Source organism: Homo sapiens, chromosome 1, assembly GCF_000001405.40.
Source record: "Homo sapiens chromosome 1, GRCh38.p14 Primary Assembly".
NCBI classification, from domain to species: Eukaryota; Metazoa; Chordata; class Mammalia; order Primates; family Hominidae; genus Homo; species Homo sapiens.
Window position 1 is genome coordinate 107,938,237 of NC_000001.11, and position 25,121 is coordinate 107,963,357.

General features: G+C 40.0%; 1 protein-coding gene and 1 pseudogene across 7 annotated transcripts in view; both read right to left on the bottom strand.

The window, feature by feature from the left end:
- Positions 1–25,121, bottom strand: part of VAV3 (vav guanine nucleotide exchange factor 3) — a 394,020-nt gene that overhangs the window by 367,076 nt on the left and 1,823 nt on the right. The gene's annotated exons all lie outside the window — the stretch shown is intronic.
- TRUND-NNN8-1 (tRNA-undetermined (NNN) 8-1) lies at positions 15,417–15,487 on the bottom strand (annotated as a pseudogene).

Genomic DNA, 25,121 nt, shown 5'->3' on the forward strand with positions numbered 1-25,121 from the left:
CCAACTTCGAGAAATGTCCCCACCTTCTATCCTTCAGGCACTAAGGTCAAGGGCCAGCCCTAAACTCAAGGAAAGCTGAGGAGGAAGGAGCCGCCAGATGGGACCAAGAAGGCGAGAGGCAGGAGTGTCTTAGGGATCTAGATTCTCAAGGGAGGAAACTATCAGGACCACAGGGGTGGGTTTTTTGGGGGGCTAGGGAATAGGGATAAATTCCCAAAGACTGAAATATCTGTTCCCTGTAGAAACAGGTCTGTAGATAAGAAAGGGGCAGAAATGGAAGAGGAAGCAGGCATGGAGGGAAGAGCTTGCAGCCTAGGGACATAATTAGGATGTCAGAACAATCCAGAAGTGCCCAGTGGATGACTTGGTTGTCCTTTCTCTCCATGTTTCCTGTTTTGGTAAACCCAAAGGGTTTATGTGATATTATCTCATGACACTAAACCCATGAAGTACTCAAATATTCTCATGTCAACAAGTAGCTTTGATTACCTCAAAGGCTCCTAATGTACTGGGCATTTAATGAGCACTTACAGAACAAAAGAACAATGAAAAAGGAATTTTGGCCTAAAGATTTATCTGCACATATGGACACAGTGAACTGTAACCTAATGGGATGTGTAAATAGACCATAACCTACTCTTGTACCAATCACAGAGTTTCAGCCAATCACAGAGTTTCAGCCAATCTCAGGTGGCCAGCTGTTCAAACTGTGTTCAAATAAGGCAAACGCTGAGCTATATCCAATCCAGCTGATTCTGTACCTCACTTCCATTTTCTGTTACTTTCCCTTTTCTGACCATAAATGTTATCCTCCCATGTGGCAGCCCCAGAATCGCTGTGGACCTATTCTGGTTCTGGGGGCTGCCCAATTTGCAAATCGTTCTTGGCTTCATTAAACTGTGTTAAATTTGTCTAGTTTTTTTTTCTAAACACTAAGATAACAGCGCCAATTTTAAATATAAACCTTAGTTTTCCATTAAGATATTAAAGACTAGAAACTAAATCTCCTTGCAAGTCCAAAAATGTTAAATTCTAAAGGAATTAAATTCTAGACTCAAATTTTCTTGCCTTTACACAGATGGTCCTAGGCTTACTATGGTTCAACTTACAACTTCATGATGATGTGAAAGAGGTACACATTCAGTAGAAACTGTACTTAGAATTTTGATCTATCCCCAGGCTAACAATATGCAGTTCCGTACTTTCTCGAAATGCTGGACAGCGGCAGCAAGCAAAACCTCCCAGTCAGCCAAGTGATCATGAGGGTAAACAACCAATACTCTACAATGTAACTGTGATGCCAGCATTTTTTGGATATAGTGTTTTTTGGTTTTCCATCCCATCATGTCTACAAAACACCCAGTCTTGACTTACAATGCTTTTAACTTATGGGTTTCTCAGGACATAACCCCATCTAAGTCATGGAGCATCTTTATATAGTCTGTCTTAGCCTGAGTTTCCCAGAAAGTAGAAGTTTAGACAAAATCCTGAATGCAGGATTTAGTTGGTGAAGTGATCCTGAGGAGCAGATTAAAAATGGGGAAGGAAGGAAGAAAAATACAAAGACGAATTACTAAACTGACCATTGCTCTTGGGGAATACTTAATATCTCCCCCCACCCCCATGCACCAGAAAGAAGCCCAGAGGAGGAAGAGTAAGACAGGACAGGTAGAGAATGTGGCCCCAGGTGAGGTGCTCTCCAGATGTACCCATGAAGTTCTTGGAAGCTTGTATGGAACTGTCTACTGCAGCTGTGGTTGCAATAAGAGGCCAAGCAAGACGATTTTGAAGTGATGGAGGAAAGATATCCAATACAAAGTCCAACAATATTAAAGGTCAAATTCATCCTCTCAAATTTCGTATTCTATATTACCAGCTGGAGGAGCTCTTGATGCCTGGGTAGAATTGTAGAGGTTTTTGTTGTTTTTGTTTGTTTTGAAACAGCTTCAAGCTGTAATGAAGAAAGTATAGTTCCTTCAGAGCCTCAGATGTTGAGTCAACGTTATCTCAAATCTTTGACATCCTCCACTTTTAAAGAGACCAAAGAATTATAAGGTCAGGCAAGACTATCATCTGCCCCACACCCACAATATTTAAAAGGAAAGCTAATCCTCAGGCCATGAAGTAGCTACCACAACAAGCAAGCCAGTGTTCCCAGAATCCAGAATTTGGCATAACCCAGAGCCATGTAATTGCTTCCAAAGACAACAGCAGAAACTCCAGGACATTTGAAAGATAGAGAAGGTTCTACAAATAAAAACAAAGTCCTCCTGGTTTCAGCCTTGCCAGGATGCCTGCGAAACTATGCCAATTTTCTAAAGCTTAAAACTCGATTGGGAGACAAGTATCCATCAATGAATGAAAAAGCAAACAAAAAGTGGTGTCTGTACAACGGAATATTATTTAGCCTTAGAAAGGAAAGAAATTCTGGCACAGGCTACAACATGGATAAACCTTCAGGACATTAAACTAAATAAAATAAGCTAGTCACAAAGGGCCAAAAACTGTATGATTCCATTTATATGCAGTATCTAGAGTAGTCAAATTCAGAGAGACAAAGTAGAAAGGGGGTTGCCAGGGGCTTCAGGGGGAGTTGTTGTTTAATGTATAGAGTTTCAGTTGGGGAAGATGAAAAGGTTCTGGAGATGGATGGTGGTGATGATTGCACAACAGTGTGAATGTACTTAATGCCACAGAACAATATACTTCAACATGGTTAAAATGGTAAGTTTTATACTATGTATATTTTAGCACAATTGAAAAAAAAAAACCCTCAACTAGAAGAAATCTTCAAGCAGGAGGTTAATTTTGGCCCCATGCATACTGGCAGGAAAAAATCTGACTTTGCAAAGTGTCTTCTCCCTCAAAGCCTGGCATTTGGAGCATCACTCACTTCTTTCAAAGTTCAGAAATTTGCAGTGGTGGCAACCGTAGTCCCTCCAGGCCCTATTTGTAGAACCTTTCTTTCCCAGCCCGCACATTCTAAATTTCCTATCTTCTACTTCTTCTGAGTCCCATGTTTCTAGTACTAAAGGACTAAACTGAATGTGGTCTCTGCGTAGTAGAGTCATCATCTTCACAATCTTTTACAAGCAGAAATTTTTAGTCTTGGGCAACAGCATCTGTTGCAACGGCTTTTTGCTGTGTAATTGCTTTGGGCTGTAAAAACTGCTTCCTGAGGAAGGTCATCTCTTAGTCCTCTCATTTTTTCCAAGTGAACTCTAGAAGATTCGAGAACTTCTTTTGATTCCAGAACCATTTCCGAGGCCAACATCCTTCGGGGCCTGTGACGAGCTACACCTTTTTATGGACACTTAAAAGATTAGAGTTTCTGTACATTTTAATGACCAGGTCCTCAGTACTTCTGTTTTGTTTGTTTTGCCAGAAGTAGGGTATATCCCTCATGTTAAATTTTCATACACTGATCCCATTTTCTTTTGAGAAAACTTCAGAGGCTCCTCCCATCTTCCTGTCTCTTCCTCTTTAGAGCTATCACTGTTGGGTAGAAATAAATGGCTTACTTTCTCTTTAACTTCCTGCACCAGATATTTGATTTTCTAACATATTCCTCAATGTTTTATCATAAAATCTCCCAGATGACAGAGAATTTTAAGGTTCTGAATATGATCTCCCCTACCAAAAAAAATGCATTATTTAAATAAATCTTGTCAACCTTCACTTCCCAAGTTACATAATCCCAGTCAGGAGGTGACTCTCATCAGGCCACATCCAGCCAGCCCTAGACTGTCTCCTCCTAGAATACCCCTCATCTTTTCCTGCCTCCCCTTAGAGTCTGAACTCCAAAAAACTTTGAGAATGTTCCTTCAGCGTGCAAGTGATACCTGCCTGCCCAATCACAGTAATGTTAACACCTTGAAACTCAGTGAATTCTTCAGTATGTTATGCTGGCATCGCTGGGCTTTCCCCTGCAAATGCAACTTTTCTGTAACCACTTGATATTGCTATCCCAGGGTCACCAACACTAGCCTAGTGAGATGATGAATATTTTATACAAACTAGAAGAAAGTACCCCTCCAGGACAGATGTAAACCCTGGTGAGATCCCACAGCGAGAAGACAGCAGTTGCATTTCAACCTCTACTAGCAGAAATCTTTACTCAGTGTACAAAATGCAAGACCATATCCAGCCCTTGGCCTTACAAATCATACTTCAGACTCTCACTACATCTTTAAAGGGACACTTGGCAACATTTTCTGAACCTGGTAAAAAAATTTCAGATCTTGTCTCACTTCTTCAGGCCCACCACACTTTCTAATTGGTAATCATTAGAGTGATCTCTTTTCCTTTTTATATCTGTGTATCCTGACTTAAGATCTCATTTCTCCCTTCATACCTCTCATGAAATGTGAACATTTCTCCTAGCTTAGTCTTTTCAGTCTACTACTGCTTCTTTTCTGATCATAACAAAACTTATTTTTCAAACCAATTCTACTTTCTCCTTGATATTCTAAGAAAACCTGATCTCTAGAATCCATACCAACCCCCGGCCTTTGTAATCATCTTCTTAACTTTCTGGTTTGCAATAAGATTACTGACTTGCTTGTCTATCTCAACCCAAGAATATGCCATATATTTCTTAAGGGCCACCCCCATTCCTTTTTATCTGCTAAATAACAAAATCCAACATCTTTTACAGCTACAGTTCCATGACCTAATGGCCAGAACTTAATTATGAAATCCAGAGCAAACAAAACTCACGTTTTCTTGTAGAGGAACTTCTGTTGGGGTATTAGAACAATGCTTCTTCCCCCTAGGCAGTGTAGAGTTCAGCTTCTCACAGGTCTTGTCTTTGAGACCTGCTTCTCTGCAGAGAGGATGTGTTCCTTTTTGACTTAGTTCTGATTCAATTCCTTTTTCCTTGGCACACCAGATCTCCTACTCTTAGAGTCTTGGTGGCCAGTCACTTCTGGCCATCTTTTTTTCCTTTTTATTTTTAGTTCATATGTAATAAATTTACATATTTATGGGATATAGAGTGATGTTTTGATATACGTATACAGAGGATGCTTTCTTGGTCTGCTCTTGATTAGTCAGTTGAGGTTGGTCATATCACAGGTGGCCTATTAAGATTTGTAGATAAACTACAAAATTACATAAGATTAGTCCCTCCAGGGCCTTCATTTGGCCTAGAACAAAATTAAGTGAATGTGGTGAAGCCAATTTATCATTTCCTTGGCTTGTCTCTCACAATTTAAAGAAAGAACCTCACACAATAGCACTCTTAAAACTTCCCAGCACTTTGGGAGGCCGAGGCAGGCACACACATCACGAGGTCAAGAGATCGAGACCATCTGGCCAACATGGTGAAACCCCATCTCTACTAAAAGTACAAAAATTAGCTGGGCATGGTGGCACACACCTGTAGTCCCAGCTACTCGAGAGGCTGAGGCAGGAGAATCGCTTGAACCTGGGAGGCAGAGGTTGCAGTGAGCCGAGATGGTGCCACTGTGCTCCAGCCTGGCAACAGAGCGAGACTCCGTCTCAAAACAAAACAAAACAAAACAAAACTCTGTGGCTTTTACAGTTTGAAGTCGTGGCCTAGAGCCTTGACTGAAATACAGTAAAAGCAGCAAATGCTATTCCACCCCAAATGACTAAAAATGTCAAACCCCTTCCTAAGCCTCACCTGCAACACGAGTCCAAGCTGTGCCCACAAAACCCAAAAAGCCCACCCACAAAGCCCAGCATGGCTCCACTTGCCAGGACCAGTGCATCCTGCACTTGCTAAGGCCTAAACACCCATCACAAACAGCTGTGCCTGGTTTTGACAGTCATTTGCCTGTAGGCTAGGCTGCCATAAGCTTCACAGTCTCCCAAGGTCAAAATAATAAATACTCCTCTTTCCTACTGAGTGAAAAACCCAAGGAGCAAAGATACAGAAAACAGATCGAAATGTAGGTGTTTTTATTAACAAAACTTAACATATATTGGAAACTGTGGCTTAAGGATGCCGGACCCCCTCTCATCTTCTACTTACCCTCTCCCCATGTGGTAAGCCTCTCCCTTGGAGACATGACCTACTCTGCTTAGCTTGTCATAAAAATGAGAATAGACTGTAAAACCACTGCCATCTTTGCAGGTAAGTAAGTCTCAAAGAGAAGACCCAGAAGAAACTAAGTTACATATACATACCCAGGTATATGCTAATATTCTAACAAAAGTTCTTCCACAGGTAAACATGAGATACAGGGAGAGTGTGTATCCTCCAAAATATACCTCTCTTATAACCTGAATTCTTTGTTATATGTTCAGTGCCTAATGAGGGCTTTGAATATTGTAGGGGTGAAATAAATGCTGAATGAATGAAAGAATGAACTCTATTTCTGAATGAACAAAACGCAGTTTTTTGTTTGTTTGTTTGTTATGAGACAGAGTCTCACTCTGTCACCCAGGCTGGAGTGCAGTGGCACAATCTCAGCTCACTGCAACCTCCCTCTTCCAGGTTCAAGCAAATCTCCTGCCTCAGCCTCTCGAGTAGCTGGGACTATTGGCGTCCACTACCACACCCAGCTAATTTTTTTGTATTTTAGTAGAGACAGGGTTTCACCATGTTGCCCAGGCTGGTCTCGAACTCCTGAGCTCTGGCAATCCGCCCGCCTCGGCCTCCCAAAGTGCTAGGATTACAGGAATGAGCGACTGTGCCCAGCCACAAAATGCAGTTTTGAACCTGCGGAAGTTAAGAGTGTAATATGAAATAGCTTGCACTTTTGGGATATGCAAACCAAAATGGCAGGAGGTCTCGGATGAAAGGAAATGTACCAGGCATAATCTAATCTTTTAAGAATGTTCAGCTTCATCATTAAATCCTTCTGCTATTTGGCTCAAGATGATTCTATGCCCAGCCACCTGGATGGTTTAGGTAATGTTATTATAGGGCTTGGGTGAAGAATGCTGGCTAAGATGAAAAGCTGATAGATATTAAACTATGTTTATTTGCCCTCTCTTCAGACTTTCCCTCATTAACATGAAAGATTATATAAGAAAAAAACAAGATCTTATTTAATTACAAGATACATTTGAATTTTTTAGAGGCCCTTGAAAAACACCTACATATTTAATTTCAGAGCAATTTAAACTTACAAAGGCATTTAACAAATATCTAAAATTATTTCCCTCTTGTTTACTGCTACTAATAACAGTTATTATATAGTTATTTATACATTCCTCCATATTTATTGAGCACTAGTGCTGGTCATTGTGCTGATCCCCAGGAATCAACAGTGAATAAAAATATAAGTGGCCCCTGCCATCGTGAAGCTTAGATCTAGTAGAAAAATCAGTCACGTCCAGGCGCGGTGGCTCATGCCTGTAATTCCAGCACTTTGAGAGGTTGAGACGAGCGGACTATCTGAGGTCAAGCTCGAGACCAGCCTGGCCAACATGGTGAAACCCCATCTCTACTAAAAATACAAAAATTGGCCAGGCGTGGTGGCGGGCACCTGTAATCCCAGCTATTCAAGAGGCTGAGGCGGGAGAATCGCTTGAACCTGGGAGGCAGAGGTTGCAGTGAATCGAGATCGCGCCATTACACTCCAGCTTGAGCGACAAGAGCAAAACTCCGACTCAAAAAAAAAAAAAAAGAAAGAAAGAAAAGAAAAACAGTCACAAAAATAATATTTAAAAGGATAAGATGTATACAAGGGGTATTTGGAAACCAAGAAACAAAAGAAAATGGCAAGTTCCAACTCCAGAAGAAAAAAATGGTGTGATAAATTCTGGGAATGGCTGTTTATGGAATGAGCGAGAGGAGGGAGTTGAGGCTGGGGAGGGCAGCAGGGTCCATACTCCAAGCATGGGGAAGCATTCTAAGGGTTACAAAGGGGTTCACTCGATAAGATTAATGTTTTGGCTATTTATCAAGATTACTGACAATGTAGATGGGATAATGGATTGGCATGAGGTAGAATACACATAGGGAGACTAATTAGGAGGCAGTGGTCCAAGTGAAAGATGGAGAGTGGAGAGGAGCAGACATGGATTCAAGATAATGAAGGCTGAGCACTATAAACACCCTGCAATAATAGCTTGACCAGTATCATGAGGTAGCTACTTTTATCCCATTTTACAGATGAGAAAATAGATTGAGAGGGGTTAAGTAATCCGTACAAAGTCATTTCACAAATAAGTGACTGAGATTGGAATAAAATCTACATGCCACTCAAGTCTTTGTTTTTAACCAAGACTTTGGAAATCTGTGCTTTTTGTCCACTAGAACTGTTTCTCTGCACACTATCTGGCAATATGTTAACAGGAGCTACAAAAATGTTTATGACCATTGACCTAGAAATTTCGCATTGGAAAACAAAGCTGAAGGAAAAAATCCAAAGGGGGAAAATAATCTGCACAAGGACATGGACAGTCATGCTATCCATAAAAGAGAAGGACTGAAAATAATCCAAATAACTGATTCCACAAATAAGGAGCATATTAATAAGATGGACTATTCCTCATTTTCACAACTACATGCTATTCCATTATCACTTCCTATGTGACCTTGAAGAAATTGCTCAGTGTCTTCTAAAATTCTTCAGCTATAATAGTTATGTTCTATTACTGGATCCCTCAACTACCCAAGGGAAATAGACATTAATAACACCAACCATAATAGTATTTAGTGGAAGGTGTTTTGCCACTCTTTTATTAAGAGTTTACAACATTCAAAGCTCTGAGGCAGGAATTTGTCATACTTTATCTTATCAAATCATGACAGCAGCCTACAGCACAGACAGTGGTGTCCTCCAGAGGAAGCCAAGGGAACCCAGAGGGAAAAGAGCCTGCCCTAGATCATCCAGCTAATTAGCAGCAGATCCAAAATTTGAACTCTAGAGCCTATAACCTTTTTGCTATAAAATGCCACCCACTGGTGATCACAGAGAAAATGGAGACTTAGAGATCACTGAGTTTATCAGCAATGGAGTCATGTGGAATGCAGGTCTCCCAATTCTGGGTAGAGTGTTACACATATGAAATTGCCAACAGACAAATCGACAGATTCAAATGTGCCAATTATATCATTTTTGAAAGCCACAATATTCCAAGTCTTATATTCAATGAATCTAAATAAAACATCTGCACAAAGATGACTACAACAGAGAAGAAAAGTTTGCCATAGACAAGCGAAGTTATAGAGTTCTAAGAGTTCCAAAAGAACTGTGAGGAAAGCCCTATACCATGAGAAGATCAGAGGATGGTGTGGGACAGGAGAAGGGAAAGAATCTCACATGATTACCAACTGTCCACTACATCTCTGGTGCTGTGCTAGGTATCTTGCCCATCTGAGTTCACTTACTCTTCACAATACTCTGCAGTAGGAATTATCCCCACTCCATAAGAAAGAAAATTAATATGCTGAGAGATTAAGGAATTTGCCCACAGCCATTCACCTAATGGTGCATGAGTTGAACCGAGGTCTGGCCAATGCTAAAGTCCATATTCTTTCAATATAACATGCTGCCTCCCACTGCAGAACTACTGGCAGAATATTATAATTTTTTCATCCTAGGATTAAAAAATATCTAGCATTCTCATCTAACCAACATTAAGGCCAATGTGAAGGATTCATTAAATAATCACTCAATGACCATTCATGGGAGCAGTCACCCTGTGCCAGGTACTGAGCCAAGAACAGGAAACTGACAAACAAATGGTCCCTAATTTCATGGAACTCACAACCTAGGAGTAATAACTTATGGTGACGCCTAAACATACATGAATACTCATACCGTTGGGAATTTGGGACACATTTTTGTTACCTGGCTTAAAATAGCAAAACTGCTCTCCTAGGAACTGAGTAATGCTGAATGGCTAAGTTTTGGATAGCTGTGGATTTACTCCTTTAAGCATCAGATCTTTGATTTTATAATTTTCATTAATCATTTTTCAATGCTTTTTCAATTCTCCCAGAACATTCTAAGCTCCAAAGTCTGAGACTCTGTACCCTCACCTTTACGGATTCCCCTAAACTACTGCATCCAAAAAATGAAAAACATACATGAATGAGAGAAAATAAGGTCTTCATAGTAAGTGCTTCACATGAGAAATTCTGAAGTACTTCCTGATATTGTAAAAAAAAAAATTGTAAGAGAATAAACATGATTTAAACTTCTCTTGAGGGTCATTAGTGTTCTGTAATGAAAACCTGCATTTAGACTGGTTCTGGCAAACCAAGTGACCTTGGTCAAACCATTGTATACATATCAGAGGACCTGGACTGCTCATTTTTAAAACCAAGTTGCTGAACTAGAATTATCTGTAACAATTTTTTCAGCACTATAATTGTATATAACTCTTTCAACAATAAAGCTGGCCAGGCGCAGTGGCTCATGCCTGTAATCTCAACACTTTGGGAGGCCGAGGTGGGCAGATCACCTGAGGTCAGCAGTTCAAGACCAGCCTAGCCAACATGGCGAAATCCCATCTCTACTAAAAATACAAAATTAGCTAGGCGTGGTGGTATGTGCCTGTAATCCCAGCTACTCAGGAGGAGGCTGAGGCAGAAGAATTGCTTAAACCCAGGAAGTGGAGGTTGCGGTGAGCTGAGATCATGCCACTGCACTCCAGCCTGGGCAAGAGAGACTCCATCTCAAAAAAAAAATAAACAAACAAACAAAAACAATAAACTGAATTGCCACAATGGTTCATTCAAATAGGACCATTCTAGTCCAAGATTAATATGGTTTTTTAATTACTGAATCCATGTTTTACAGTGTTTACTACTGCAAATTTAACTTTCAACTATGCTTCATTCCCATTTTAACTTACAACCTATATCCCCTTAGACTTAAACAGGCTTAATGAAAAGGAATGGAAACTACAATTTCTATTATACCATGCTGCCTCACAAGCTTATTAGAATAGTGTATTAATTAAAAGCCCTTAGGCTCAAAGTCAGAATCTAGAAACTCTCCAAATATTTGCATAAATGAAGTTTAGCTTGTTGCATTTATATGTAGTTTAAGAAACATTTTATGTCACATTCTGGTTTTTTTTACATATAATTCATTTATTTTTCAACAATTACTTATGAACAATCTTTTTTCTTTTTGTTTATTTTTGTTTGTTTGTTTGTTTTGAGACAGGGTCTTGCTTTGCTGTCCAGGCTGGAGTGCAGTGGCATGATCATGGCTCACTGCAGACTTGACCCTGCGGGCTCAAGAGATCCTTCCACGTCAGCCTCCCAAGTTGCTGGGAGTACAGGCATGTGCTACAGTGCCCAGCTAATTAAAAAAATAATTGTAGAGATAAGCTCTATGTTGCCAAGGCTGGTCTTCAATTCCTGGGCCCAAACAATCCTCCCACCTTAGCCTCCCAAAATGCTGGGATTATAGGCCTGAACATTATCATCTTAAACAGTGTCTCTGGAAGTACCCAAATCTTTTGTGTTACCACTCATTCTGAGCTCCAGAGCTCTCAGTTCCTGCTTCCTCCTTAGTGAGGATGAATTAATTGCTATATTTTACAGAATCCCAAAGTACATGTACACACACAGTTCTATTTGTCATAATAATCTCAACTTATGCATTTCTTGTGTGGCTGACTGAACTAAGTTTACTAACTTTCCTTAGCCAACAAATGCTTTCTCATATTTGAAAGTTTTCTGCTAAACCTACATTGTGGAGTATTGATAAGTGACAGAATTACTCTAGACCAACTTTTTCTATCAGGTATTGCCTATATGATTAAAAGAAAGTTGTACTACTGAATCATAACATTACTGAAAACAGGCTTGCAAAAATAAGCAGATGCTGTGAGCTGGTTGCAAGAGGGGACAAACAGCCTGGGTGCTGCTGGGAACTGAAAAACGTGACTTGAGAGCTTCTGGTTCATCGATAACGCTCTCCAAGCACACCCCTGGATTCTGGAAACCACAAAACAAAAAAAAAGTACTTCTACTGTATAGTGTCCAACTTCTCAGAATCAAAGTTCTCACAGCACCTGGTTCTCTCTGAGATTCTAATTTTATAAACATCTACTTCAAGACCCAAAACTCTCTCTGGGAATCAGAAGGCAAAAATGTGCATATAAATGTAACTTGTAAAGTTTGGCACAGTTGCTACTGTTACTTCTAGTAACAATAATAATAGTCACCATTGTAGTGTGTGGAATGGGACAGACTGAGGACAAGTCAGGGTTCAGGAGGACTGGGTGGTAATGATGAGGACTAGTTGAGCTTGCTGGTACTAAGCGAGAGTTAGGGATTCAGGGTGTCTGGGATTTGGAGCGTTGGAACATGACCAGGGGAATGACAGAAAGCCAAGAGGGTGTTGTTATGAGGCACTGCAAAGAGGTGAATGAAAGCAGGGGCAAGTTGCAGTGAACACAGACAGTAAAAGCAAGGTGGTAAGCCACTTTCTCCAACAGCTCTCTGCTGCTCACGGGCAAGGGCAGCAAAGCCTGAGAAGGAGGGTGCTCTAGGAGTCAGGTGACTGGCATATCTCATGTTACAGAAGGTGAAGGGAATTGGAGTAAAAATGGAAAGGCTGATCATAAATTCTGACAGGACTCGAGAGTACACAGTCAAGACCAGATGGACCAGGAAAGGAGGAGATATCAGTCAACTAAAGAGCACAGGGAGGATAATGGCTTAGTAGATGTGAGGGAGGGAGAAGTAGCAAGTCTAGAGGTTAGAGAGAGGAGAGAGAGCAAGCCTCTTTACTTTCAGTACTTTAGATGTCCATTAAGTATTTTGATTCTATAGTTTTTGCTCCCTGAACTTTCAAGATATTCAAGAGAATAGACCATCATCTCATGCTCCAGCCTATCCACCAAAGATAGGTACTTCAATGTCTTTCCTGACAAATGCAAATGGTATGGCCAAATTTCCAGTACTAATGTTATTAAGGGTCCTACATCATCGTTCAGAATAGATTTTTGTTAGAGACATCACTGAGATCTCAATGTCTTTGCACATTCTTCATCTCACATAACTCTCTCTCTACTCAGTTTTATTTCTCAAACCTTCTTCCTCTGTAGTAACCATTCATGTCTCTGTCCTCTTCTTGGTCTCATCTCTCTCACCCAGCTGCATGTACTTTTGCACCAGTCTTATAACATCCAATAACTTTATTTCTGCATTCTTGCAAAAGCCTGACTCCCAGATCAACTCCATTTTCTCTTCGCCCCCTAAAAGTGGGAACTTCATATGATTTATCTCTATGCCTTTGTGCCCTGTACAAATGTCTATAGAGAGAAATACAAAAGCAAAAATTGACAAATGGGATCTAATTAACTAAAGAGCTTCTGCACAGCAAAAGAAACTCTCAACAGAGTAAAGAGACAACCTACAGAATGGAAGAAAATTTTTGCAAACTATGCATCTGACAAAGGCCTAATATCCAGCATCTATAAGGAACTTAAACAAATGTACAAGAAAAACACAAACACCATTAAAAAGTGGGCAAAAAACATGAGTAGACAATTCTCAAAAGAAGACATACATGCAGTCAACAAGCATATGAAAAAAAGCTCAACATTACTGATCTTCAGAGAAATGCAAATCAAAACCATAATGAGATACTATCTCATATCAGTCAGAATGGCTATTATCAAAAAGTCAAAAAAAAAAACATGCTGACAAGATTATGGAGAAAAAGAAACACTTATACACTGTTGGTGGGAGTGTAAATTAGTTCAACATTTGTGGAAGACAGTGTGGTGATGCCTCAAAGACCTAAAGACAGAAATACCATTTGACCCAGCAATCCCATTGCAGGATATACACCCAAAGGAATATAAACTGTTCTAGTATAAAGACACACGTACACATATGTTCACTACAGCACTATTCACAATAGCAAAGGCATGGAATCAACCTAAATGTCCATCAGTGATAGACTGGATACAGAAAATGTGGTACATATACACTGTGGAATACTATGCAGAATGAGATCATGTCTTTTGCAGAGACATGGATAGCGCTGGAGGCCATTATCCTTAGCAAACTAACGCAGGAACAGAAAACCAAATGCCACATGTTCTCACTTATAAGTGAGGGCTAAATGATGAGATCACATGGGCACACGGAGGGGAACCACACACACTGGGGCCTATCAGACAGTGCAGGATGAGAAGAGGGAAAGGATCAAGAAAAATCACTAATGGGTACTAGGCTTAATACCTGGGTGATGAAATAATCTGCACAATAAACCCCCATGACACACGTTTACCTATGTAACAAACCTGCACATGTGCCCCGAACTTATAACAAAACTTTATATATATATATATATACACACATAAATTCAACCTAAAAAAAGAAAGACAGGAGAGAAATACCTTGAGCCATGCACACACATAAATAAATCCATTTTGTGACATTAGTGGTATAATGTACACATGAGCAAAATTAACTATGTATCCAGAAAAGCATTACCCACCTACCAAACTTTAGCCATGCCCATTCACTCTAACCCAAACGGCTCCCTTCCCATCCACTGTTTTATAAGGGAAAATATGAAGTAAAACCCGTACTGTATAGACTAAAAGCAACACAGGGTCAGGGATTGAGTTTCATTCACATTTGAATACCCAGCATCTACTACAAAGTCCAACATTGAGCAGACAATGTGATGATTTAAATAATTGCTTCACTTGCACAAATTTCCATGAAAACAGAAGCAAACAGAAAGTAGAGGGGCTATAAAATTACCAAAAAGCAAATAATCCACAAACTAATCAGACTAAAAAATAACAGAAATTTCGTTGTTTTAGATGTTTCATTTTAAATAGAACAACTTTCAGTTCAAAATAATACAATCTCATTTTACATTTCTAGGGCCTGCCTTGTTTTTTGAAAGCACTTTTCCAGTCATTTCCTCATGCAATTTGCCATCTATCCACTGAATTTGGCAGCAGGAACGGGAAACTTCACCGAATCTGGAATTAGGACAGTTGGACTCAAGTCCTGTCTTCACCACTTCCTGTCTGTGTGACCTTGAGAAAAGCCCTTTAGCCAGGGCACATATCCATTTCCTCCTCTGTAGAGCAGTGATAAGATCTTATTCTTCCTGTCTCATAGACATGAGGATTGGGGAGGCAGTGGGGAGAAGGAAGGAAATAATCTTACCAAGTACCCACCATGTACCAGGCATTTAAATATTTTCATTCTCACCATAATCCTGCAAAGAAATTCCACAATTTCTTGCCTATCAGATGAGAAAACAGATTCAATAAGTAAAGTAACTTTCCCAGGGTCAGTGTTGTTAAGTGCCAGAGCTGGGATTCAATCATTTCTGCCTGATCCCTGATCATGAAACCATAATGCTGCCTTGATATGTGTAAAACATTTTAGTTGCTATTTAGTATATTATTGCACATGTAAGTATCCGCTGCTATTGCTATAAGTACAGAAGCCAGAGGCAAAGAGAAGGAAACATGAAGGCCACACAGCCTGTCAGAGACAGATCTGGGACTAGAACCCAGGTCTCCTGACTCCTGACCTTAAGTGTTCCCATTAAACCATGCTGCCCCCATGCTCCCAGGAAAAGGCATAGGGAAGCACGACGCTTGTTTATTCAGACCAGCTGTTACAGATCTATTTTAAGACAGGCACTCTGAAAACCATGGAAGGTGAGTATCAAGTGTATCATTAAATATTCCATATTAATTGACCCTTTAAAGAACTCTCATGTGAGTAGCATGTGCTGCTGGCTTCCTGTTAAGCAAGCAACTCAAAAACTGAATACACTTCTTGTAACACAGATTTTGAAAGCACATTCAGACAGCAGCACAAAATACAATTTAAAAATAATTTTACATGGAAATCAAAAGGAACTACTTTGCTGTTCATGGTTCTATCCACTAAATGCCCAAGATTAAGGAAAACCAGAATGTCAACTTGTGACTGGCTTTAACACCATGAAGGGTCTATGTTAACAGAGGATGAAAAACATGATAAAATAATGCTCCAAATAATAGCTAACAATAGGTTGTCTGTGAATTTACAAAAAGAATATTTATAATAGAAAAAAAATGCCCTATCAAAGCACATCATTTTAAACAACAGTGTTCCTGCTTCCCAGAGAAATGTAGGCACTCCTGACTCCAGAACAGAGCATTAAACCATGTGCTTGAGACCAGCTGTCACAAGGCACAGTATTAAAAGGCTAAAAAGGAACAGCTACACTCACTTTCTCTCTTCCCCTCATTAACTTTCCTTAGTTTTCCTGATTTCCTTTCCTTTTCCCATTATATACCTGTCAAAAGTCTAACACCCATTTTATACTGAATAGTGTGATAAATGTGTATGAAATCATCCAGATTCAGTATCCTGAGGCAAATTTTTTTTTTTTTTTTTTTGAGATGAAGTCTTGCTCTGTTGCCCAGGCTGGAGTGCAGTGGCATGATCTTGGATCACTGCAACCTCCACCTCCCAGGTTCAAGCTATTCTCCTGTCCTGAGGCAAAATTTTAACTCAATATCTGACTAGTAAGGAGGTGCTATTAACAACAGCCATAAGGCCAATCAGAACACTCCTCCAAGGGAGCCCCACACAACAGGAAAATACCATGGGAGGGGGGGAAATTCATTGCAGTCCTCATCGCAGTTCACATTCAGATAGGCCGATAGCCTCGCTGACAAGAATTCAGTTCGCTCTTAATGTTCTTATTCTAAGTTTGGCTCTACCACAAACCACTTGTTGGTGTAAGTTACTAAACCCCTCTTAGCTTCAGAGAGTATCCACCACATGGGGATAAATAACAGTGCCTGCCTCACGGTGTTGGACAATTAGATGAGATAATGCATGGAAAGCTTTAGTAACTGCCTTGTATGTTTCCACAGAAGCAGTGATAATCATTATAGTAAAAAATAGTTAACATCTATTGGGCACTTGTTATAAGCCAGTCACATTAATTAATTCAGCTAGCCCTCACAAGAACCCTAGGAGGTAGGTTCTTTTATTTGGTCTATTTTAGAGATGAGGAAGCTAAAGAACAGACAGATAGACAGGTTTAGTCACTTTCTGAGAGTCACTCGGTAAGTGGTGAAGTAATGTTACCTGCTATTATTAGTAATGGCACTTAAGTATTTTTGGTTTTTAATGACAGTCAGTGCTGGCTATGTTTTTTTTTTAATTTGTAGATGTTTGAAAAGGTAGTAAAGAGTCACCATTTTCATCCCATTGATGAATTTAATCTATGCCTATTTATGTATGCCTATTAGGTATGACTCCCTGTGTCCATTTCTAGTGCCATATATAAAGGAACTAGCCTATGGCATCCTCAATCAAGCCAAAGCCTGGAAGGGAGACGGATAAGGAAAAAAAACTGCAAAACAGCAAGAAATGCTGCATTCTACCAGACACTGTGGCACAAAGCAGCATGTGCTCAGCCACACCTGGGAGAAAAGTCAGGGAAGACAATACAAAGATGACTCTTGAACTGAATCTACAAGTAGACAAATGAAAAAGGGAACTTCAAGCAGACAAAAAGGTATATGCAACAGCACAGAGACATTTAACAGCATAGTCTTCAAGAAACTGCAAGAAGGTCAGGAGTACAAAGTGGAGAAGAGCTTTGAGAGATGAAGCAGCACAAGACCATGAGCTCTTGCATACTAAGGAGGTTGGATTTTATCCCATGGTCCATCAGGAACCACTAAAGTTATAAGGAGGTTGTCTGATCATCTGCCCTAGTAGCTCAGATCAAACCCTAGGCATCCTTAGTCGCTCTCCATCACACCCAATGTTCATCCACATGTTTCTATCTCTACTCTGAAAATATATCTCACATCAAATGAAGGGAACAACGGCATACATGCATGCAAATGGGAAAGATCCAAGTGAGAACTGATGATGCAGAAGAGCATCGGGGTAAGAGTGAAGGAGAAACTGGCCTTGGCCAGGAGCACTGTTAACTCACTCATAGTGCAGGAGAGAAGGCATCATCTATGAGCACAGATGCAGGAAGGTGGGAGCCTGAGGAAGCTCTCCTCCAATTTTGTCTTTTCTCTCAGTGGAACAGGAAGTAAGATTACGAGTTGAGAGAAAGAAGGGAGAAACGGGTGATTAAGTTAAGTTTAAGGAAAGAAGAAAAGGTAGTACAGAGTGATCTGGAGAGTCAAAAAGTAAATGGTCTCGGGCAGTTCTCAAACTTTTTTTTCCTCAGGACCCCTTTCCACTCTTAAAACGTGATTGAGAATCCTCAGCAGCTTTTGTTTGGGGTTTCACAGCTATTAATGTTTAACATACTAGAATTCTAAACTGATAAGCCTTTGAAACGTACACAAGCATATATGCTACAGTCAGCCACAGCAACGGTATAGGCACTATCACACAGCCTTTGGAAAATTCCTCTATATACACATTAGAAAATGAGAATGAGGGCAAATAATCTATTATTATTCGATTATAAATAAAACCATAAAGAGAGTTTTGAAATTGTAGGACCCGTAAAAGCACTTCAGGGACTGCCAGTAGTTCCAGACCATACTTTGAGAACATTAAAGAAATATAATCAGATGACTGGATGGCCCAAGGTGCCCACTTGAGGTTAGGGATCATGAACTTAAAGTGAGAGCAGTCAGCACGGTGCGGGTTTTCCTCCATTACATTCAGCAGCTCAGTTGTAAGCAGGGAATAAGTAACAAGTTGAATTTTACCAGGGTTTTGTTTATCCAAACAAGCAGGACAAATCGAGGGACGTCAAGGAATTATAATGGCTATAGTATTTAAGCTAAGTAGGAAGGAAATGAAAACTGAATCAGGAAGTTAAGAGGTGGTAGAAGCAATGAGTTCAAAGGATTGTTGGGTTTTAGGTATTAGTAGAACAAACCCAAAAGAAAGGGGTATTAAGAGAGTGGGATGCATGAAACTGAGAAGAGAGAGGGTAACTGGTAATAACTTCCAACTCAGAGTCCAAGACAGAATGTGTTCCCTTTCTCACTAAAATGTGCCCCTTCTTTATGACACTTCTGTCACCTGATGCTGAAACCTGGGTCTCAACCTAGATACTTTCCACTCTTTCTCTGTATCTAAAAGGTTGCAAAGTCCCAGCCATCCCAACTCATAATTATCACTTTAATCTTTTTTGTTCCTCTCTATCCCTCTATTCACCTCCTTTCTCTGGCCTTATCTTCTGTTGAATGACTTCAGTACCAGTCCTGCTCACGCCTAGTTTTGTCCCATCCAATCCACCCCTCTCTATTGTGAGTGAACTTTCTACAATGATCAGGCTTCATACCTATGGAGCCACTGTAATTATAGAGGCAGGGGTGTAAAACAGGCAGACTGAGGCTGTCAGTATGAATTTGGGATCCAGCAAGGTAGGTAACACCACAGATGTCATGAGATGCTACAGGGAAGCGAATATGAAATCAAAACACAACTAAAGAGAAAACTCTAAAATGTTTAAGATATGTTTCAATAAAGAGAAGCCAGCAAACAAACAAACAAAAACTGAGAAGGAATAATAAGAGGTACAAGAGAATCAGGAGAATATGGTGTGGTGAGAGTAAAGGGAAGAGAGAGTTTTAGGAGAAGGGGATGATCAGTAACATCAATTGCTACAGGGGATTCGAGAAAAATAATAAAAACAATCCACTGTATTTGAAAATTAGAAAATATGTGGTGATCTATACTAGATCAACCCCATTTGTATTGCAAACATGGTATAATTTTCTCCATCTTAAAAAAAAAAAAAGACACGATCTCATTTCCTCACTCTGGCAAGCCATGGGATTGTACCTCACCAAGAGGGTTTCAGTACTTCAGTGCCTTACCCCAGGCTCTGCTTTCCAGAGAACCTAGGTTAAGCCACCAATCACGCAGACAGAACAAGTGCTTAAGATGCCTAAAGATGCCACAACTACTTTACATGAAAAGATCCTGATTGGTATTGAGTTTAAAATTATGCTGGCAGATTATCCAAGAGAATAACCTAACAAATGGCAAAGAGGTTAATGACTTCTGAGAAGACTAAGGAATGATATTATTCTGAATGAACTGACTAAAAATGTTACTAGGCACACCATTCTTTTTGGGAAATAACAGTTCTTCCTCCTTCCCTTTTGTATAACCCAAAAATCTGTAAGTCACACCACCTTGTATGGGAGGAGGGAGTGTGTAGACATGTATTTGGAATTCATGCCTCAATGCTAAAACTAAATCATAGTTTTTAAAAACAATGTATGGTTGTGTACAGCAGAAACTAACTCTTTAAAATAATAACAGCAGCATCAAAACTCAGCTTAGAAGGAAATCTCACAGACAATAGTGATGAATTATTTTAGGAATGCTGCATCACCAACACTAGATGTTCAAAGGGCAACACTGTATGAAAACACATGGCAATCAATGACTCTAAGTTCAAGTGGTATTCAGAATAGTCACAATCTGAACAAAAAGAAGATTTTAAAACACTTTAAATTTTACTTATTTTTTTTTATCATTATACTTTAAGTTCTGGGATACATGTGAAGCAAGTGCAGGTTTGTTACATAGGTATACATGTGCCATGGTGGTTTCCTGCACCCATCAACCCGTCATCTACGTTAGGTATTTCTCATAATGTTATCCCTCCCCTTGCCCTCCAACCCCCGACAGGCCCCGGTGTGTGATGTTCCCCTCCCTGTGCCCATATGTTCTCATTCTTCATATATAGATATATCTTTTCACATACAAATACATATACACAAGAGTACCATATGAGAAAATCTGTCCATCTAAAGAGCTCTTTCAATAGGTATAAAATAAGAATTGTGTCATAAGAAAATAAACTATATCTAGGCCGGGCACAGTGGCTTACAGCTGTAATCCCAGTACTTTCGGGAGGCCAAGGCGGCCTGATGACCTGAGGTCTGAAGTTTGAGACCAGATTGGCCAACAAGGTAAAACCCCGTCTCTACTAAAATACAAAAATTAGCCAGGCGTGGTAGCACACACCTGTAATCCTAGCTACCTGGGAGGCTAAGGCAGGAGAATTGGTTGAACCCAGGAGGCAGAGGTTGCAGTGAGCCAAGATCTCACCACTGCACTCCAGCCTGGGTGACGGAGCAAGACTCTGTCTAAAAAATAAATAAATTAATTAATTAATTAATTAACCCATATATTGATTTCTTTTCCCCTAGTAGCCACTATCCCATTTTTCTGTTCTCTTTGCAGCAAAATTACTCCCTAAAGAGCTGTCTATACTTGCTGTCTCAACCCTCTCCTACTATCAGGTGTTTGCCCACCACATCACCAAATCTGTTTTTGTCAAGGTCACCAAGGAAACTTATATTGTTTAAATCTTCTATCCTCAGTCCTTATTTCACTTGATCAGCAGCATTTGACATGTCATCGCTCCTCCCAAAAATACTCTGTTCACTTGGTTTCCCTCCTACCTCATGGCCATTGCCTCTCAACTCCTTCACAGGTTCTCCCCATCTCTCTGCCCTCGAGAACAGGCATGCTCCAATGGCTCATCAGACTTTTTCTTCTTTCTTCACTACTCCCTGTGTGGTATCACCCAGTCTCATGATTTTAAATACCATCTTCACCTTGATGACTCCAAACTTTATACCTACATCTCCAACTCCTCCAACTTGCTCGGCGTACCCATCTAGATGTCTACTAGGCACTTCAATCATAACTAGCTCCAGATATTCCTTCCCCTCTCCCCACATACACCCCAACACCATACTTCCTCTAGTCCTCTCCATTTCAGTAAATGGGAACTTCATCATCCAGTTTCTCAGGGCAAAAATTCTGGAGACATACTTGACTCCTCTCTTCTCATATCCCTAATCTAGTCCATCAATAAACCCCTGCTGGCTCCATCTTCAGAATATATTCAGAGCCTATTCTTCCCACCATCTGCCCTGCTATTGCTTTGGTAAAAGCCGCCATCATCTCTTGCCTGAATGATGTATTAGCCTGGCCACTTCTATCCTTGCTGCTCTCCAGTCTGTTCTCAATGCAGTAGCCAAAGTAACTGTAGGAAAGGTAAATCAGGGCTGGGCGTGGCAGCTCATGCCTGTAATCCTAACACTTTGGGAGGCCAAGGCGGGTGGACTGCCTGAGCTCAGGAGTTGGAGACCACTCTAGGCAACATGGTGAAACCCCCTCTACTAAAATACAAAAAAGTAGCCGGGAGTAGTGGCACGTGCCTGTAGTCCCAGCTACTCTGGAGGCTCAGGAACGAGAAACTCTTGAGCCTGGGAGGCGGAGGTTGCAGTGAGCTGAGATCAGGCCACTGCACGCCAACTTGGGCTACACAGTAAGACTCCGTCTCAAAAAAAAAAAGAAAAGAAAAGAAAGGTAAATCAGGCCATGTCACTCCTCTCCTCATCCCTCTGTTGACCTCTCATTTCACTCAAAGTGAAATCCAAAGTCCTTAAAGTGGCCCACAAGTCCTAAAAATCGAGCTTCCATTTTCTCTCTGACTTCACGTTTCCCACTCTTTCCCACACTCACTCTCCTCCAACCACACTGACCCTGCTGTTCCTCCAGTATGCCTGCCACTTAATGACCTCAGGAGCTTTGCACTTGGTATTCCCTCCACCAGGAATATTCTTTTTTCCAAACATTGACATTCCTGTGTTCCTTCACTCGCTTCAGGTCCCACCTAATTGTCACTCCCTTGGAGAGGACTTTCTTGACTACCTTCTATAAAATTGTATTACATTTCTCTCTAGTTCCTAACTCAGCTTCAAATGGGTTCATAGCACATTATAGATAAATATATAAATAATTATATACAATAAATTGTATGTAAAAATATAAATATATAAATAAATTATACAGTCATTTATTTATGGTTCAACTCTACTAAAATCCAAACCCCTTTAGGGCAGGGACTTTGTTGAGTTTGTCCAAGACAGTGTCTAAAACAGCGCCTGGAACATAGTAGGACCAAGTAAATATTCATTGAAGGAATCCTTGAAGTCTGAATTATTCATTTAAACAATTCAAAGTTTACATACACTGTCCATAGTGGCCACTAAACTCATTGACTGTATTACCCCTACTATAAAGCATAGTATAAAGCAAAATTTTAAGTTTCAAACTAAGACTAAGGTACTCTCATTCATGATAGATCTAGGGGTGGTTATAGGCATTCATGAAGATCTTCTTAACCACTAAAAGTGACATCAAGCCAATAACTCATGCCCTTCCACAGGCACACCCCCAGCCCCAACCCCAGCATGTGCCGCCCACCCAGTACAGCTATCACCAGTAGGCTCTTCTCTTCCAGAATCATTCACATGCTTTGTGTCCTGGCTAGAATACTGTTTCAGATGAAAAATAAATCTCAAATATAGACACTAAAATCTAACATATACAGACACCAAATTTCTTAGATATTCACTGGCCAACTGCATTTTATTTAACTGTATTATATAATAAGAGGAACATGTTAAATGTATAACTAAATATGATTAATGTTTACCTCTTTAACCTATCATAAATAAAAACAAACACTAAATCAGCATGAAAAAATATACTTATTTTTGAACTGAAGATCATCCTCTTACCAAGATGGCAAGATCAAAAACAAACTGATGTCAACAGCCAGAAAGAACAATAAGTAAGAAAACTGGGATCCCATCCATGCTTTTATTTTGAAAGATAATCAACTAACTTATTAAGATTCCAAGATTCAAACCTATAATTGAGCAGTCATTATTTGCAGTTATTTATTTTTTTAAATGCAAACAAGGCAGAAGGCTAACAGAGAATAGAAAGGCATCCCACTCACTGGAATAAACACTCATTTTAAAAGGCTGGTCATTTTATAGCCTCTTTCAGGAAAGCTAAACAGGCTACAAACAAAACATCAATAAATTAAAATTTCTTTTGTCAACATCTGCTCTTTACAGTCTCAATATGTCACAAAAGTCAGAAGTGACAGCTTCCAGTTATTTCTCAGGTTAGGAGATCATGTGCTATAAAAAATAGTCTATTTCAAATTAATATCTTCAACAGAATCTAAGTAGACAGAACGACTCTCAGACATACCAAAACGCCACAAGTACTAGTAATGACATCTCTAACTCCAGGGGAATACATTCTGCTGGGACATGACAGGGTTGTACCAGGTTAATAGTGTATTCACTACAGCTAGAACCTTTCCCAAGAAAGAGATGAGTAGTTAGCGGCAAAATGTCTAGGGTTATCAGCCCAAAGGAACCGGTAGGCCTCTACAATTGTTTTAAAATTTCTATTGGAACCTATTACTCTTAATATAACAATAGCAGAAAAAATGTTTTTCATAATTTTGCTAATAGTAAACATTTATTAAGTACATGTGCTAGGCACTATAAGCATGTTAAATACGTCAAGTTGTTTCATAAAATCATTTCATAAGTCTCATTAAAGGATTTAATGACAACCTGCATGATACAAACTCATCGGCCTAGCATCCACTTGTTCAGCAGCCTTGCCTCTCTGCAATGAGGCCAAGAACCATGAGGAAAGCAAAAACAGACATCACCAGGCTCAGGTACTAGCCTTCTAGGATTCACATTTGAGGGAAGCACCCTCTCATAGGACATTACAGGAGAAACTGTACTTAATTTGGAACCAGAAACCTCAAGGTTGAACAGACTTAAGAACTCAAAAGTGCAACGGCACAAAGAAGGTCATTAGCTGTCCTACTTACCTTATTATAACCCAGTGATTTACCATCTGATAGCATAGTGTAATAATTCCTTTAGGGCAAGTATCCTGGTGTGCTCATTTTGCTACCCCCACTAGGGAACAGAACTCTTAGAGCATTGTATGTGCTCAATTTTCATTAATGATGCTTATAATGACAATCTTTGGTCATCAGAAAGATTAAATTACATCTAACATAAGAGGAGAAGAGTGAAACACATTCAAAACGATTCTCATCCATTGTTAGCATTCAAATAAAGGCTTCGAGGTTTAAAAAGGTCTTCAGCTGTCCAGAAAACGTGATTATTGAGAGCAACTGCTGAGAGTTCCAGGAAACAAGTTCCAGGAAATGTGCACAGTACTGTACTCCCTACTGGTGGGCCAAGGCATCCTGACCCACGCTGCCTCCTGAGGCTACAGGCAAAGTGGAAAATGGGGATGTGTGAGAGTAGCTAACTGCAGCTCCCACCATAATAGAAAAGTCTGCCAAACCCCTCAAAGGAATTTCCAGAGTTGAGACAACTCT